Below are 18,139 nucleotides of genomic sequence, written 5' to 3' on the forward strand. Positions count from 1 at the left end.
TTTAACACTGAGTTTAGGAACTTAGAAGGTGATTGCATTTTAAATAACACTTAATCCCTAAACAACAACAACAAAGAAAGTACAAAAATAAGGCTGTAAAATGAAAACTAAACATAAACTTTCTGCAAATATTAAAAACATAGAGAAGTGAAAAATACCCTACTTTCAGTTTTCTGTTCGCGAATAGTACATTTCAACATTTTTAGACAAGACCTTCGACCTATAACCCAAAATGGGACAACATTTCTGAAACGAGAAAATAGCTATATGAACAATAAGAAGGAAATCATTTGCTAAGCAAATGGACAAATTGACAAATAAAGGTCTTTTGGAAATAACAACAAAAGCTTAATTTTGCTTTAATGTATAAAAATTTAGTCAGTCTTAATACAAAAATATATATTGTTTTAATATTGTAGACTAACAAATTCAACAGCTAAGTCAGGCCAGCTGGATTCAATGTATTCTCTATTACTTGATGAAAATGATCCGGTCCTTCCACCATCATTGCCGGGATCGACCTCATAGCAGTTGCTGGGTTCCTGCCCTCTCTCTGCTTGCCCTATGCTCCCTGTTAACACAGCTTATGCCTGTCAGAGCATTGCTGTAGTGTCCTAATCAAAAAATGTTTTACATGAAATGAGAAGATCTCATTTTAAAATATTTTTTAATGTAAAAGGAACATTCAATTTTTATATTCTTTTTATTATAAATTATCTCAATCATAAAAATCAACATGACTATATTATTCTTTCCGCCTGTTAGCCTCTGACCAATATTTCAAGCCTGATATTTTCTCCATTTTCAGCTTTGAAAATCTATTATCACTCGGCCTAAGTGGGTTACTAACCCAGTCATCTTCTAGTCCTGCATTTAAGTGACTATTAGGACGTACTTTATGAAGTTTCAAGTGACCCTCTATTCTTTCTCATATAAAATATCTATACGATATCAGTGGCAGTCAGATACAATTCCTAGGGAAAAGCTACTGTATTTTCTCCAAGGTCATAATTGTACTAGAACATCCAAGGGCAATGTTTTCAGACTGAATTCTAGTTTTTCCCTGAGACATATAAAAGAGGATTGATAAGCCTATAATTCAGGACCCACTTACAGACTTATAGGAAAATTATATATTTATAACGTTCCTGATAAAAGAACATAGGTCAAAGTCAAAAAGGAAACAGAAAAGTACCAAGTAGAAGAAAAATCTCTAGCTGCTTCTTGACTATAGAATAAATTTCTTGGAATGCTAAAGTGCACTTGACAAGAATACTGAGGGCGTGGGCTGATAAGCTGCCACAAGATGCATCTGAGCATCATGGGAAGTCCTCTATGAGTGCTGAATGGGCTGAAGTGTTGCACTGAGAGAACGCTTCCTGGACTTAGAGAATAAAACAAATTGGTAACGTGTAAAAGTTACATATTAAAGGGATCTCTTCACAATGCCCACGTTATAGGTCTGCATATAATTTTTCAGCATGGAAGTTTTCTTGAAGCTGTTGCGTTTGGACTTACAGATATTATACACAGTTCTCCGTGAATATCATTTTGTCTCATGTGCCACACTCTGAATCATTTGAAGCACAAGGACTTGACTTCAGGAAAGATTTCCCCCAAAGACTTTTATCACCTTTTAAGAAAAATTTCACCCAAGATACCTTTAATATGAGGAAAACTAAGCCACCAAATGTGACCTCTATTTACCTTCTGTCTGTCTCCTTACCTTAATCCTCACCAAACCCAACTTCCTCTCTCATCCCGATCCCTTCCTCCAGACTAGGAAATGGCTAACCTTCTCCTTGCCAAAGCCAACCCCTCCATCTTTGCCCTCAATAACATCCATTCCCATCTCTTCAGGAATCTTATGCCACCAAGTATTCTCTGTTGCTCCTTTCCACTTCTACTTGTACCTTTGTTTGTCCTCATAAAGCGCTCAAGATTCTTTCATTCTAAAAAAAATCTTTTGGCTGCATATGTGTATTCTTCATCAATATACTACCATCTCCTTCATCTGTTCATCTAAATTCTCAAAAAGTTGGTGTCTCACTATTTCTTCCTTACATTTTACTTTTAAATTGGGTTTTCCAGCTTTCTGCCTTTAAAAATATAAAAATTCCTCCTAATTGCCCATTCCAGGGGAAACTTTTTATTCCTTTTTTATATTATCATATTATAATGCATTTGACTACCCTTTTAAAACATTCTACCCATTGTTTGTTTGAACCTTGTATTTTTCTGTCATATTTCACTGACAGTTTCTTTTTAGGTTTCTTAAATCCTTGCCTTAGGAAGAGAGGATTAGGTAAATTATCTTCAAAACTCAATTGAAAACTGCTAGGTTTTATATGAAAGACTGAATTTTTTTAAATGTGGAAATGTGGTCCTTTGGAGGGGGGAGTCATCAGATATAATGAGTTATTTCTGTAAAACAGTTATGCTTATGTCCCCCTGAGTAAAGCCACCTGAGAGATGTCTATTTCAAGAGGTAATAGAGCAACTGTCAGATGGATGTGGACTTTGATGCTTTGAACTACAGCATCTGTCACATTTTTAAACATCATTTATTCTCATCTCCCATTTTTCCATTGGAGTTTAAAATGAGCCCTATCTGCGAGATAAAAAAAACCAGAAGTGTATTTGAATTTTGTTCTGAATGTGAATAGAACCAGTGCCCACAATCCAAGGTCTCCATATTCCTCGGGCTCACATTGTCCCATTAGATGTGATTGCTTCTTCCCTGAGCTGTTATCTTCTGCAGGGGGTCTAGGAGAACCTGAGCATAGTTGTCCCTACTAGATCTACTCCATGGATGAAGAGTAGAAGAAAAAAAATAGCTCTTTTTTTGTACCACAAAGCCAGTCGATATTGTGGCCTGCTCTGGAAATTAGCCAATACCCATGCACAAGAACTGGCACTGGTCAGAAAGCCACAGAAGATGAGCCTTTGCTCCCCTGGCAGTTCTTGCAGTGTTGCTGGCTTCAGGGTTTGCTACTATTGTGTTTCCAGCTGGCATGACTGCAGGCGTCTTGCTTTCACGAGCTTTTACCCCATCCATACATTAAGAATGGGACACACTGTACCCCAAATCACTAACACCAGGAAAAATGCCAATTTCAACATTTAAACAGTTTCATACTTTGCAAACGTTGTTTGCTGATGATTCGATATTTGCAAAAACAACAACAACAACAACAACACCTTATGTTAATCTTAGTAGTCAAATCCAAGCCTTAGGGCTTAACTAGTGACAGATGCTCTTTCGCATGGTGGTGCCTGAGTTAAATAATTTCGCTGAATAAGTTAATAGGTAAGTGATTATACCTAAATTAAATAAAAATTGAAATTTATATTAAAATATACATAGAAATGTGTATTAAAATACATACTAAATATATGTATATTTAATGTGTATATGTATCCATATATATAGATCGCACACTTTAGATAAACTGAAACGATTATTCAAAAAGCCCAGATATATGCCTCATTTTCCCTGAAGAAAGTACTTGGTTTCCAAGAAATTTATGCTTCAGCAGCTCTTGTAGCAATAAATAAAAATCTGAGGGACAGAATGTGATTCAGAGATATCCGGAGTCTACAATTTATTCCCAAACAGAAGGAGTCAATATAAATCCTGTGAATTTCATTGTCTGCTGCCAGAAAACCTATTTAATTATGAATAAGAAATGCTTAGAAATGTTCCCTCTTTAGGGAACACAGTCCTTATTTGGAACACAAGACCTTGTAAGCCCTTTAAAAATTACCCATTGTAAGTACAACACTGTCATCTTAGTTCATCATTAGGGAACTCTGCAACTGGAATAACTCCAGACCTTCTTAGTATATTAGAAAGATGGTCATGAGAACACATTGAGGTTTCATTGAATTCTCAGAGCTTTTTGTTACATGACCTGTTTTTAGTTATTCTTTTTACTTAGTTGGTTTGATGTGATTTCCATATTATGAATTGGATCCAGATGTTCAAATAGTAACTTAGACACACACTTTAAAGGTGTTTTTACTGTAAAAATAATGTCCTCTAAATATATTAGCCTATTATAAGAGTCAAAGTAATTAAATTTAAAACACAATAAAACTACAGAGGTAAAATATATTTTCCCTTTATGACCCAACTCTCTAGGTGTATTCCAGAAGACCAAGAAGTTCCTCAGCTCTGCTCATGTTTGGGCCGTTAGAGTAGCGCAAAGGTGAGCCTGTTCTTACTAGACACTATTTGATAGATGGGTTAGTTGACCTCCATGACAAGAAATATTTTGCATGAGTTTAAATCAGTACTCAGTATATAACTTAATTAGGATGTGTTCAGTCTCTACAGAATGTGTTGAAACCAAAAGAACTTCTTAACTGGTATGCTACAGTGTGCCATGAGTAGGTTGCAGGTAGATGAGGTGCTAATCATAGGCACTGTAAAACTGGCCAGGAGGGGGTGCCTGAGGCCACTGAAGTCCTTGAGCAACTTGTTTCTGTCTGAGAAGATTCTGCCCTGTGTACTCCAGTGTTCCATACAAATATAACTCTATATGTAGCCATATGTGTAAAGATCGAAAAGCAGTAGCTCAATAATAGATGTTGAATTTTCACTAAAGCAAGCAAGACATCTAAGGGCAAGCTTTCCAAAATTTGTTCCATGGCTCAGTAGTGTCATCAAAGACCCAATCTCATTTCATTCTTCTATTTCAGCATTCTCAGCATGCTGACATTTGTCTCCAGGCTGGTCACCTCATGGTTGAAAGATGGCTGACAAAACTCCAGGTTTCACATTTTTAAACGGGAGCAACTGAAGCAGAAGTGAGGGAGATATTGAAAGAAATCATTTCTCATGTGGCCTTCATTTCTTTAAGGGAGGAAAACCCTCGTGAAAGTGATCTCCTATACTTCTACTTATGTAGTATTGACTAGAATGGTGTTACTTTCATGTGGACATTGATGCAGGGGGATAGGATTACCATAAATAGCTTGGACATTCATGGCGTGGGCATACTGCCACCTGAATACAATAAAACAGAAGTGCAGTTAGCAAGAAATATAGGAGAATGACTGCTAGGTAAGCAACAAATAGTGTCAGCTATTGAGAGATTTATCAAAAGGAAATAATGTTGTTTATAATTTTAAGAGTCATAACCACTTGCAAGTTAAAGGTAATATATAATTTCTCAAGTCTAATTAACCTCTTCTCAAGCCTTCAACTCTATCTGCTTCAGCTTTTGTAAATAGCAAATTTAGGGTCTTCATTAATGTAGAAATACAGTTGAATGTATATCTGTAGCCACAGTTTCTTAGCCTCAGTTTCTGTAGCCACAAAGTGAGAGAAAATATTTGCCAAACAGATACCTGATAAAAGACTTTGATCTAAAATATACAAAGAAGTCTTAAAACTCAACAATAAGAAAACAATTAAAAAAACTCAATTAAAAAAATGGGCAAAACTTCTGAACAGGCACTTCACCAAAAAGATATGTGGATGGCAAATAAACACATGAAAAGATGCTCACCTTTTGTTATCAATGAAGTTAAAACGACAAGATATCACTACACACCTACTAGAATGATTAAAATCCAAACAACTGACCATACCAACTGCTGATGGGGATAGAGAAAAACAGGATTTTCACTGCGCTGATGGGAATGAAAAATAATAGGACAACTTTGAGAGACAATTTGACAATTTCTTACAAAGCTAAGTATAATAGACTTACGTAATCCAGCAATCATGCTCCTAGGTATTTAACCAACAACCAATGTAAAAACTTGTGTCTGCACAAAAATCTGCATGCAAATATTGGTAGCACTTTTATTTATAATCACCACAAATTAAAAGTGACCAAGACGTCCTTCAAAAGGTAGATACACCCTTCGAAAGGTGGAACAAAAGGTATGTTACATCCATACAATGGAATACTATTTAGCAGTAAAAATAAATGACCCATCAAGCCATGTAAAAACATGGCTTGATTTTAAATGCATATTACCAAGTAAAAGAAGTCAGTCTGAAAAAGTTATATACTTTATAGAGACAGTCAAAAGATTAGTAGTCACCAGAGGTTTGGAAAGGGGGTAGGATTAAATATAAAGAAGCACAGGGGATTTTTTAAAAGGTGAAGCTATTCTGTATGATACTATAATGGTAGAAATGACACTATGCATTCATCAAAACCTACAGATCCTTACAGTACCAAAGGTGAACCTTAATTTATGAAAATTAAAAAAAACCATTTAGGAGTCAAGGAGTCCCAGGAGAGGATGCAGACTGTGACAATATATATATCTGTGTTATGAATGTATGAAATAACTTCACTGATGGGTATTGGGTAAAAGGTGATGCTCTGAGTAACTTAAGAAACGGGTAGAAACTGTAAAACTAAAGACAAATAGAATGGTACATAAGCACTGTACTCTAGTGGATAAAGGTTATTTTTCCCATGGAAGTACAAATTGTTTATGTATATTGAAAATGAGCAATTAAGTGCATGGCAAATGGTGGGAACAAGGTGTCTCACTGTTGCACTAAGAAGTTACAGAGGCCGGGCGCGGTGGTTCGCGCCTGTAAGCCCAGCACTTTGGGAGGCCCAGGCAAGCGGATCACAAGGTCAGGAGATCAAGACCATCCTGGCTAACACGGTGAAACCCCATCTCTACGAAAAATACAAAAAATTAGCTGGGCGTGGTGGCAGACACCTTTAGTCCCAGCTACTGGGGAGGCTGAGGTAGGAGAATGGTGTGAACCCAGGAGGCGGAGCTTGCAGTGAGCCATGATCGGGCCACTGCACTCCAGCCTGGGCGACAGGGTGAGACGCTGTCTCAAAAAAAACAAAAAAAAAAAACAAAAAAAAGAAGTTACAGTTGTGCAAGAGGAGAAGACTAGAATGATCCATGTGGTAATGCATTAGAATTGGAGGCATCAGTATGTTGGGGAAAGAAAATATTTTTTCTTCCCACTTTAGGTTCATGGCCCAATCCCTAAAAGCAAAGGACAGATGAACAAGAGAAAAGCATACAATTTATTATATACATATTATGTTATATGAGAGATTTCAGAAATGAAGACCCGAAGAAACAGTTAAATGTGTATTTTTTTTAAATAGTAGGTCTGATGAAAAAGTAGACAGTTGTGAAGAAGTATGATTGGACAGAGGAGGTATGATCTAATGGTAATAAACTGAGAGGAGCTTAGTAAGACCAGTTTGTTCCGATTCTTCTCTGTTTCCTTGTCTTCAAAGATAAAGATGCTTCTATCCTCTGGATAAATGGAGGGCACCTCTGGAATAAGGATCTTATAACCTGCTTCATGGGAGAAGGGTGACGGGAAGGTGAGAGTGACTTTCTTGCTTCCGCTGTTTTTCTCACATGCCCAGGTATCATATTTTGGGAAAGCATGCCCTGTACCCCATTAGATATGAACTGATATTTATCTTAATACAGATACATACAAAAGTATTTAAAAGTATGCGTACATACAAAGGTTAGTGTGCACACATATATTTCCTTTCTCTGCCAACGAAAAGGACCTAGAAGCAAAAACACCCTAGTAGCAATAAACATACCTAGTGCCCAGATTTTGGTTTCTAATACCATTCTTCAGCATAAGAACCAAGGCTTCTTAGAGAAATGGATAATTCTATGGCTGGGGAAGAGCATATACTAGATGAGTCCAGGACACCTTGTAATGCTAGAAGTTAGAGAAGTGCTCAAAAACATTAATAATTACATTGATGGATGTATGTCAAAGGGACGGGAGCCAACTGAAAGAGTTTCTAATGGCTAAAGCTGGAAGTATTTGAACAATAACATTTAAAAGCAGTACTAGATTATAGTCCAAAGTATAAAATACATATGAGCCCATACTCATACACATCAACAATTAAATTAATAAAAAAATGCAGAATTCCAAATAATTATGTAGGTACTCCTACAATTCCACAAACAAGCAAAATACACAATCAAAATCAATAGGAATGCCAATGGCTACATTCTATTATATCACACATAAATTTGGAAGTGCTTAATGGATTCCTCAGTGAATAAGGTAACAGTTTTAAAATTCTTTTTAATGAAGCCATTTTTTGGGATATTTGGCTATTTAGTTATACTGAAACTTAAAGAAGGAACAATGCTGCTTCATTCTAACGAACAGTAATATCACCTTTACTTTTCTCTCAAAAGCATTATACTTTTCTCTCAAAAGCATACAAAATAGGGGTAAATGGGAGAAGACTTTACACCTGCTATATTGTTCACGTATTTTAAAATAATACTTTCAGCTCCACAGAACTGTGTGCTCCATTGAGAAACCCTAACCAAGAAGCATGCGTGTAAGCGCTAAGCATGTCATCAGTTTTCAATTCAAATAAAAGATCCGGTCTGCCTTCTTTTGAAAAGGACCCTGATGGAATGGACTGGATGAAAATGTTTCATGACTCACCCCTCTAAAACTGGAGGCCTATGTTCTCAGGGGACTGCAAGGCCACTTATGAGACAGACGTGGCCCGACATAGAACAAGCTGTCCAGAACTGGAGCAAGGACAGCCAGGGTCTAATCCTGTCCCTTTCATTTCCTAACTCACAGTTTCACCTTGAGCAAAAATTTTTAATTTTGTTGGTTTCTCATTGGAAAAATGAGGTGTGGAATCAGATAATATATGAAACTAATGGAACTCAGAAATGCTGTGTGTATGCTTTCTTCCTTTGAACAGCAAGAGCTAGGGTTGGGGCATTGTCCCTGCAGGTCTGGCTGCTCTGACCCTTGACCTCTGTGCAAAGCTGCAAGGCTTACAATACAGACTTGGAGAGGCCCAGCCCGCCTTGAGGGAAGAGGAAATTGTCCAGGAGCAATTGTTTCCATATGCATTTCCAGAGCTGAAAACACAAGAGCGCTTTGGAGCCAGCAGGAAAGGGAAGCAATTTATCCTCTTTCACATCCTTCAGAAGCTTCCTGGGGAGTTCATGCCCTTGGTCTACCAACACCTTTCTTAGTATTGATTCTTGAAAGGAAGTCAGAAGCCACCTTGAGAGTTAAGGGCACTTAATTCTGAATTTCACTATATAAACCTTGTTTCGAGGCATAGTTTGTAAACCAATCTCTTGGTTCAGAGGTTTAACAAAACCTGTTTAAATGGAATTTGAAATACTAATTTTGCCTTTGATATTATTGGGCAATGCATATTCACATCATAGACAACGGAGTGTGTGGGGTTCTTGTGTTTTGCTTTGCCACAAGTAATATTCATCCTGGTAACAATTTTTGAGGCTTTGCCTTTTGTATTATTTAGTCCAATTGCAAATCATCAGGTAAAAAATGAGCAATGCTGTTTTTTCTTTTGCTAAAGGGTGTAAGTGTCCAACCAATGTCATGTCTCCTATAGATGGAGGAATGTTCACTTTTTTTACCTTTCTTTATATTCTTTTCCTGGACATAACTATTTCAACCCACTCCCACAAACCACAGGTTTATATGTATACAGAAAGGGAGAAAATTGAATTCTTACAAATGACATTTTACAAAATATCTCACAATATAACCATAAATGTGCAGAAAAGAATCAGGCACCGATGGCCATGATGCCCTTCTGCCCCCTACTATTTTTCCCCGCACCTCAATTACACTGATTTTGATTGCTATTTAGGAAATTTATTTTTAGTGGTGACTGAAATCCACAATTATGTGCTATAAATTATGTTCTTTAAATCCATAGCTCTTTTCCTTATATCTCAGGATGTCACCAAGAGTTCTGGCTGTTCCTGTCCCCAGATTGCTTTCACGGGCCCAGCCTAGGATCAGAAGGTCAACACACCGCTTTCTCCTTTGAAGACATGCAAATATGCCACCTTGCAAAGATAACTAGGATGTCCTGCTCAATATCCCAGATACGAACAACTGATCGGTACAGAACAATAAATTACACGGTTGGAGGCAACAAAACCTGTGTGATTTTGTGAGAACATGTCTAAAATTGTGGTGCGGCTGTTTTGCAGACTAAATGTATCTCAATAGGAAACAGAAAACCAACGGGTTTTTTTCTTCAACTCAAGCTTGAGAGTAGACTACCCAGTAACAATGTCCAGTACAGGAAAGGACATTTTCATCATGTACATGTTGGAGATTTTGAGGCTACCATTTCGTTGCAGCACAAACGTCTTTAAGTAGATAAGTTACTCAACTGTCATAACAATTGTTCTTTAGAAATTAATGAGAAGGTACTGTGAACTTTGTATGAAACAACCAGTGTCTTATTAGGAAAAGCTTGTCACAACAAATAAAGCACTAGAATGCTGTAAAAACTAATATTTTTTTAAAAAAAAAAAAACAGAAAACATCAGAGCTGAAATATTCTGATGTGTAGCATACAGTATTCCAGTGTGTTATACCCACTAAACCTCTTCTTTTGAACAGGTTGCTGGAATAAATCCCAAAGGAGCAAGACATCACTGAGGAGGATAGGAAGCCAAAATGGTTTCTGCCAATATCTGGGGAATGATTCTTTGAGAAGGCTGCACATTTGCCACTGAGCTCCTCGGAACCCCTGGGATTTAGAGAGCAGATGTAACAAGGCGTAGCATTCTACAACCTGTAATAAAGGAAAACCCAAGTCTTTTTAATATATTTTAAACAGGATGTTACTTTCCTAGATTGAGCATACCATTTACCTTGAGAGGTACACTGTTCCCTCCTGAAAACAGACCGACAACATAGGGCTGCTGAGAAAAGAGGAAATCTGGCTTCACAACTAGAGAATCGGATTACCTTATCAGATGTCTATATATATATTTTTTTTGTCTTTTGGCTCTTTACATGACCAAAATCATGTCTTAGAACTGGATTATCGACATGAGACTAGCAACAACCTGATTCTGTTGAAATGGCTCTCAGAAAGAGTTGTTAGCTACCACCCTTTGGAGAGCTGAGTCTTAATGAAGGTGAAAATTAAAAACTACTGATACAAGATAACATTCGTTGAGAGATTACTTGGGTCAAATATGTTTTTATTTACTTGAGAGTTACTGTTAGCCAATTCACCAGCTCCCTCATAAATACCTGGATTCAGGGACTCAAATATTATTTCGTTAGTACTCAAATATTAACTTTCTCTCTCGTGCGCTCTCTCTCTCTCTCTCTCTCACACACACACACGCATCCTGCCCACACATACCATAAACACGTCACAACGTGATGCCAAGTCCAAAGGCAGTTTCTACTTCTCTAAAGAAATCCAGAAATAGAGGTGCCTATGAGTTAAGTATACTAAATGGTCATACTGTGTTATTAGCAATCCTCTACATTACCATAAGCATTGAATTCATCATAATTATGTTTTATTTCTTGAAAATAAAAAAAATTCCAGTGCATTCATTAACGTGCCGGCTTACTAATATCTAAATGCAATCATTATGCAAAACTATTTCAATTATTTTAAAGGATGCATTCAGCAAAAAGTGAAACTTATTTCTGGGTTCCATTTGAAATGAAATGTCATTATTTAAACATAAATAACCAGAGGCAATGTTATTGATGAATTACACTGTATGGTATGTTTCAAAAAGTGAAAATTAACAGAAATAATTTTAAATGTGTTCTTTATATTTGTCATTTGAGATTTTCTTTTGTTGAGACAATGCTATTAATTTCTTAGTCTTTATTGTAGTTAAATTAATGACTTTATTAGGGCATTTTCAAAGGCCAATCACAAAATTAAGCAAAAATCAGATATAATTGCTCAAAAGCTCTGAGAAATCACGAAAGGCTGGATTCATGCACTCAAATGTGTTGTCATCAAGTCTTTGAAATTCTGTCTGTCTCTCTCTCTCTCTCATACACACACACAGACACACACACAAGAGATCTACCTATATTTCTATTGAAGTTATTCTTAGGAAAACTTTCCCAGGGTGGCCAGGCTAGCTAGCAAAGTATATTCTGCAGAACAAATTCCAGATATTATTAAGAGTCAAATCAGTTTGGGACATGGTGGGTTAATCAATGTTTATTTCCTTTACTTCAGATTTCCCTGAGTCTTTAATGCAGTGATGCATTTATGAATCTCCAAGAGGGGTAGAAATCATACCATGCAGCAATTGCCAAAATTAATTGCCCACAGAATCTTTTTCTTTTTCTTTTATTGAGGCAGATCCCCTGGCAAGAATGTGATGAAAAAATAAATAAGGGAATCCATAATAAATGACCTCATCAGAGTCACTCTGGACCTCAGTTCCATCATGCCCCTATCTTCTTGGTTGCTTGGGCTTGTTAGTTGAGGATGGTCAACAGGTTTGAAATGGCCTCATCTTCTGAGTCCTGAGGCCTGCAAAGGACATTTGTCCCATCCCAACTACTCCTTCCCTCAGAAGCAGGAGTGTCACAGACCCTCCAGGGCTTCTTTCCTCTTAAGCTCTTGTTGGAGGACTGTGTGTGGGAAGGGGATGTGGTGAGAGAAGGACAAGGGTATGTGGAGAGGGCCTCTGAAGATTTGTGACTCGTCTGCTTGATCTTCCTAATGGAGAACAAGCATTTCAGCTTAACCATTTGGCCACATCTTGTTCACTAAGGCAAACTCACGTCTCATGATAAATTTTAAAATAAAGCATATTGCCATACTGACAATTACTTTATTACCAAACATAGATGCTATGACATGTGTCTCTCTTTTCTCTAAGGGAAAGTTCATCATATATTTTGCAGGAAAAATCCCAGTATACAAGGTAAGACTACAACTTTCTTCATCACAATTAGGTAATCATAAAGAGAATATTAAGAAATTTATTGTATATAAAGACTGAAGCTCTTTCAAAATGAAACAGGAGTTGAGGAGAATTGACTTATCTTTCTTCCTCATAATATCTTTCAATCTGATCAATGACATATTTCCAACAAATTTATAGAAATTCTATATTGAAGATTGTATCTATTTGCATAATTTGTTTATGTTTCTTAGTAAGCTCTAGCTATCTCAGGTTTTTACTTTTTTTCAATTTTTAGGGTAGGATTTACAGTGACTTGTAAATCCCAGCATTTTGGGAGGCCAAGGCCAGAGGATCACCTGAGCCAAGGAGTTACTGACCAGCCTAGGCAACACTGTGAGACCCTGTCTCTACAGATAATTTAAAAATTAGCCAGGCATGATGGCATGTGCCTGTGGTCCCAGCTACTCGAGAGACTAAGGAAGGAGGATAGCCTGAGACCCGGAGGTCAAGGCTGCAGTGGGCCATGACTGTACCACCACACTCCAGCTTGGGTGACAGAGTAAGACTCTGTTTAAATAAATAAATAAAAATTTAATGATGGGATCTCACTATGTTGCCCAGGCTGGAGTAAATTGGCTATTTACTGGCCTGAACATAGCACACTACAGCCTTGAACTCCTGGGCTCGAACAATCCTCCCATCTCAGCCTCCTGAGTAGCTGGGAGTACAGGCTCATGCTACTGTACCCAGCTCTATCTCAGTTTAATATATTTGTATGTAGCTCTGATCTCAGGGATTGCATATGCTTTGAAACAGAGGGTAAGGTACAATAAAGCAAGGTGGGACAGTTAGGTACAGAATTTATCATGAGGGTGACAACTGATTCTAGAGTACCTTTCTGATCTGTGGCTAGCAGAATTCCCTTAGTATTTAGAAGAATTCCTAGTATTCAGAACAGCCTCAAAAATATTTATTGGATTAAATTGAAATTAATGTGAAAGCAACTGAGCATATATCAATATTATAAACCTTAGGCTTTTGATTATTCAAAGCACACTTCTTCAGCTTGGGCTCAGATTCTAATCATGTGAGTTCTCTAATGCTCATTCTCTGTTTTGGATTATGGGCATTCTTTCCCTTAAACTGATGTACTGGCTGATGACTTTCTAGATTTTGTGTTTTCTCACCATCATTACAATTGTTACTATTTTCACTATTTCTCTTGTTGATTTTTAAAGTACTATAACCCCCCAAAAATTAGTTTCTCTTAAGCATTTTGTGTCATAATTTTGGGTGCTTTTCTTCTTCTAATAATAAGTTTCTATTTAAATGAAGTTTTAAATAATACATTGAATGGTCAGGACTTTTTTTTTTTTTTTTTACATTCAAAAATCTAGTGAGAGATCTTGAAACTTTGAGACTCTTTATTGCATTCAAGTAAGGTCTAGAACTTAAAAGCCACCATTGCCATTTAACATAAACTATGTGGTAAAATAATGTGATGAATACATCTCTAGTAGTATTAGGATATGAAATAAGTAAACACACAAACAAAAAAACCTGGGTTTCCTAAAAAGCTAATGACAAATTCACAGAAGTGAAAAGGATGTGTTCCATTTACTTGATATACTACATAATGGCTGTAGTTACGTTTCTTTTATAACTACTAAGTGAGATAGTCAGTGTATCCATACCAATTGACATTTCATGATATGCTTACTGGGGACGAACTGTTCAATACATTTTTTTCTATGTACCTACTCTCCCAGTTGCTGATTCGAAAAGGTCATTTTATATGTGGTCTAAAATTATAGTCCAAGCTTACCTATCAATTCTTGTAAAATTACTTTTGTAACATGTTGTCCCTAATATTTATTCTCTTTAGCACATTTATTTCAAAATCTAGTTGGTATTTTCTTTTTCAGAAATCTACATTTATATTGTAGAGGGATTTTCCCTCCTACTGATTTTAATTCCTCTAAAACATTCCTGAATTTTAATTACTGACTTCTAGTCCTGTGTATACTATTTAGCTTTGATTTGTCACTAGAAATAGGATTATCAGAGGGCTCCTTTGTGAGTCTCGCCATTCCCATTGGAAATGCCCATTTATAGTCCCAGTTTCTTAGATTCTCACTACTCAAAGTGTGTAGTCCTGAGACCAGCAGCCTAGGCACTGACTGAGCATTTGTTAGCAAAGCAAGTTGCCAGGCCCCTTCCCAGACTTTCTAAATCAGCACCAGCATTTTAACGATATCATCATTCGATGACTGTATTTTAAAGTTTCAGAGGCACTGTCTTAGGACATTTTTAAAGGGTCATTAAAAGTCACTGAACAGTTTGCAAATCACCCAGCTTACCACCTACTACTTGGTTCTCAGAAATACTTTTCAGTGTATATTTCAATGCGCCTGCTGTTCTTCCACCCGAGCTCTTAGAAGGGCGGGAACAGATTAGACCAGACCAACAAATTTATCCCTTTCCTATTTCCCTAAAACCACATCAAGTTGAATGATACTGGGATAGCACTCTGTCTTTTGAGGCTTCCTCAAATGGCCAGTTATAATTCATTCAGGAAATAATCTCCAGGCTGTTGTTTTGTTTCTTTTTTGATTGAGTGTTACTCTGCTTTTTATGTTTAACCTGTATTCACTTCAACAACATGTTATTTATGGTTGAACTAAACTCTCATTCTTAGAACTATTTCTTCCTCACTTTCTGAAATCTGCCAGTATGCAATATGCAAATATAAATATTCAAAACAGTGAGGCATGGGGCATGCATTGCATAAAGGGATGGGTATTGGATTGGGGTTAGGGTGCACTGACTCAGAACGAATAGCCTTCTTTACTTCTTCAACTGTTAAATGGACAGCACTACATATCATTCTTATTTATTGATATACCTTCTTTTTTTACTAGCTATAACCTCTATTTAATCAAAGAATCTCATTGCATTAGCACAGTGCTTGGTACAGCAAAGACACTAAAAATAATGAGGTGAATGACATTACTCTCCTTTCATTCTAAACCATGAAGGGTTAAACTATGCGGAGTTAAGCAGAGGTAACATTTTGAAGTTTACAACGCACGCCAACCATAAAAAACCCTATTGCTTTATACCAAAAGACACTTCTGAGATAGAAAAATAAACCTGAAAATAAGGAGTGGAGAAACAGTTTTGTTAATTGCTTGTCCTTGACTTTTAAACACTGACTAACATTACAGCCAGACAGGGAGTAAATCAAGCTCGTGGAAATATCAAGTTTTTTTCTTTAAAAATATAATTCCCTCTCATTCCAAAAAAAGTCACACTGGAGGAATGACACAGACTGTACTTCAAAATACAAGTGAGTCAGCAGACGTCAAATAAAAACACCCACCAGCACTGATGCAGATCTCAAAACCCCCAGCTAATAAACAAGGTTTCAAGGCCCTGATAGCCTCCAGCAGCTGCGAGAACAGAAGGGGGCCAAAGAAAAATGCCTCCCCTTCCTCATAACCCTGTTCTCCAATAGTTTCCAATCTGCCAACCCAGTCAGTTAATTCACTAAAAGCCTATTTGTACGGAGGACAGGAATAAGAACTCCCCCGTGCAACACAACTCAGTGATGAAATTAGAGGAATAAGCAGACTTTCAACAAGAGGTATGTGACATTTCACACTTAGGGGATGTCTTCGGCCAGGTAGAGGCACCATACTGCCTCTTATATTAGCCTTGATAGCGACCAGCTGGAGCTCAGTTCAATTCACACATCGCAAAGTGACAGCACTGGCTTTGGGCTACCCAAGCGGAGCCTTTCACAGCTGGAAAGATTGTAAACCAAGTATCAAACGTACCTACGATTTCTAAGCAGTCCTTTGCTTTCATTCATTTTATCTCCCAAATATGCTCTGTCCCCATAACAGATTATCCTACTAGCCTGTCTAATCACCTCCAAGCATCCACACAAATCCCAAAGATGGCAGTGTGTGTTTTATTGCTCACATTTCTAGTGAAAATCCTGCCTAGGTAGCGGTATCTAAAAATACTCCAAAACTCTGTTGCTTGCTCTGCAGAGGTGTTCTGAAGAGTGATTCTATGCAGTGGAATTCCAGAAGGATTGTTTTGCCTGTTCTGTTCATTAAGGTCAATTAGCTTTGTGTTCATCATCACTCATGATGCTTATTGTGCATAAGTGTGTTTGCAATTCACCCTGGAAAAGGTAGGACAAGAAAGCAGTAACTTGGGTTCACATGACATTTATTCTTCTGTATTGATATCTAAGGTATTACACAAAATGACCTAATTCCCCATTCTAATATTCTTGTGAAATTAAAGGGGAAAGGAACATTTTTCTTTCTTTTTTTTTCGACAGGATCTCACCGTTGCCCAAGCTGGAGTGCAGTGGCATGGTCACAGCTCATTGCAGCCTTGAACTCCTGGGCTCCAGCAATCCTCCTGCCTCAGCCCAAGAAGTGCTGGGAACAGGAGCTAGCTACTGTGCCCAGCCCCTGTACTCACCCCATCCGCCTTTTATAATGCAGGGCGAGTCTGAATCTGTTCCCTTTTTCAGTGTTGTCCTCAATCAGGTGAGTTGTATACCGTCTTTCCCTATATGGTTTACCTATTTCACAGGTGTTAACCAATGAAACCATTCCAAGGGACTTGATTTCTTTAAATAAATTTTTTGTCTTCACTCGTTGCAACTTCTTAACACAGGACATTTTGCCTTTTTTTTCTTTTCTTTTTTGATTTTTTTTGTACCTAGCCCCCTCCCCTCCTCCCATTTCTGATTCTAGATGTCAGTTTACTATGAACTTCTGACAACTTCCAGGCTGTGGCACCTTTGCCCTCTGGCTAAATGCTGCTCACCTAAGTCCATTGAGAATCAGACCTTGAAATTCAACACATGCTGTTAATGAGAAAAAGCTGTTACAGAGACAGGACTACAGCTTAAAGAAAGTTCGAAAAGGAATCATGCAGAGAGCGCTTGCTGTTGTTTGAGTAAACCACATTGCTCTAGCATACTTTTTCAAGAATTAGGACTTTTGTGAATTTAAGAAGAAAATTATTGCTGCTGCCAAAAGAAGGCGTAATAGTGCTTAAGAGAGAAACTTTTCTTTTCAACTAGAGATAACATAAACTTGCATTCAGTTCATGCCACTTTATTCATTTTTAGAAAATACCATCTGCAGTGCAAACAACTTATCTCTTGTATTCTCAGTTGAGTGTATGGCCTATTAATTATGCTGGCCCTGTGTAATCATAATAATTTACATTTCAATTATATTAAGAACACTGAGTATCAACTATTTACATGCTCACACAATGAAGTATCACATAATCCTGGTCTACAAGAAGCTTATAATCCAATGGGGAAGCAGAGAAGCCCACCAGGAAGGGTAATGAAAGCAGGTGGGAGTTTCGAGCTGGAGTTTTGGCTCTGTACTAATATACATGT

General features: G+C 37.3%; 2 annotated features.

Moving 5' to 3' along the window:
• Positions 12,879-13,211: a silencer, noted in NCBI's record as "fragment chr13:75266184-75266516 (GRCh37/hg19 assembly coordinates)". NCBI's record gives its function as "represses an EF-1alpha promoter that drives an FKBP-Casp9 reporter gene in an ReSE screen in HepG2 liver carcinoma cells {active_cell/tissue: HepG2}" and the evidence as "EXISTENCE:reporter gene assay evidence [ECO:0000049][PMID:32094911]".
• Positions 17,247-17,826: an enhancer, noted in NCBI's record as "NANOG hESC enhancer chr13:75270552-75271131 (GRCh37/hg19 assembly coordinates)". NCBI's record gives its function as "activates a minimal SCP1, AML or CMV promoter by ChIP-STARR-seq in primed H9 embryonic stem cells {active_cell/tissue: H9 hESC(primed)}" and the evidence as "EXISTENCE:reporter gene assay evidence [ECO:0000049][PMID:30033119]".

Source organism: Homo sapiens, chromosome 13 (genome assembly GCF_000001405.40).
Source record: "Homo sapiens chromosome 13, GRCh38.p14 Primary Assembly".
NCBI lineage: Eukaryota > Metazoa > Chordata > Mammalia > Primates > Hominidae > Homo > Homo sapiens.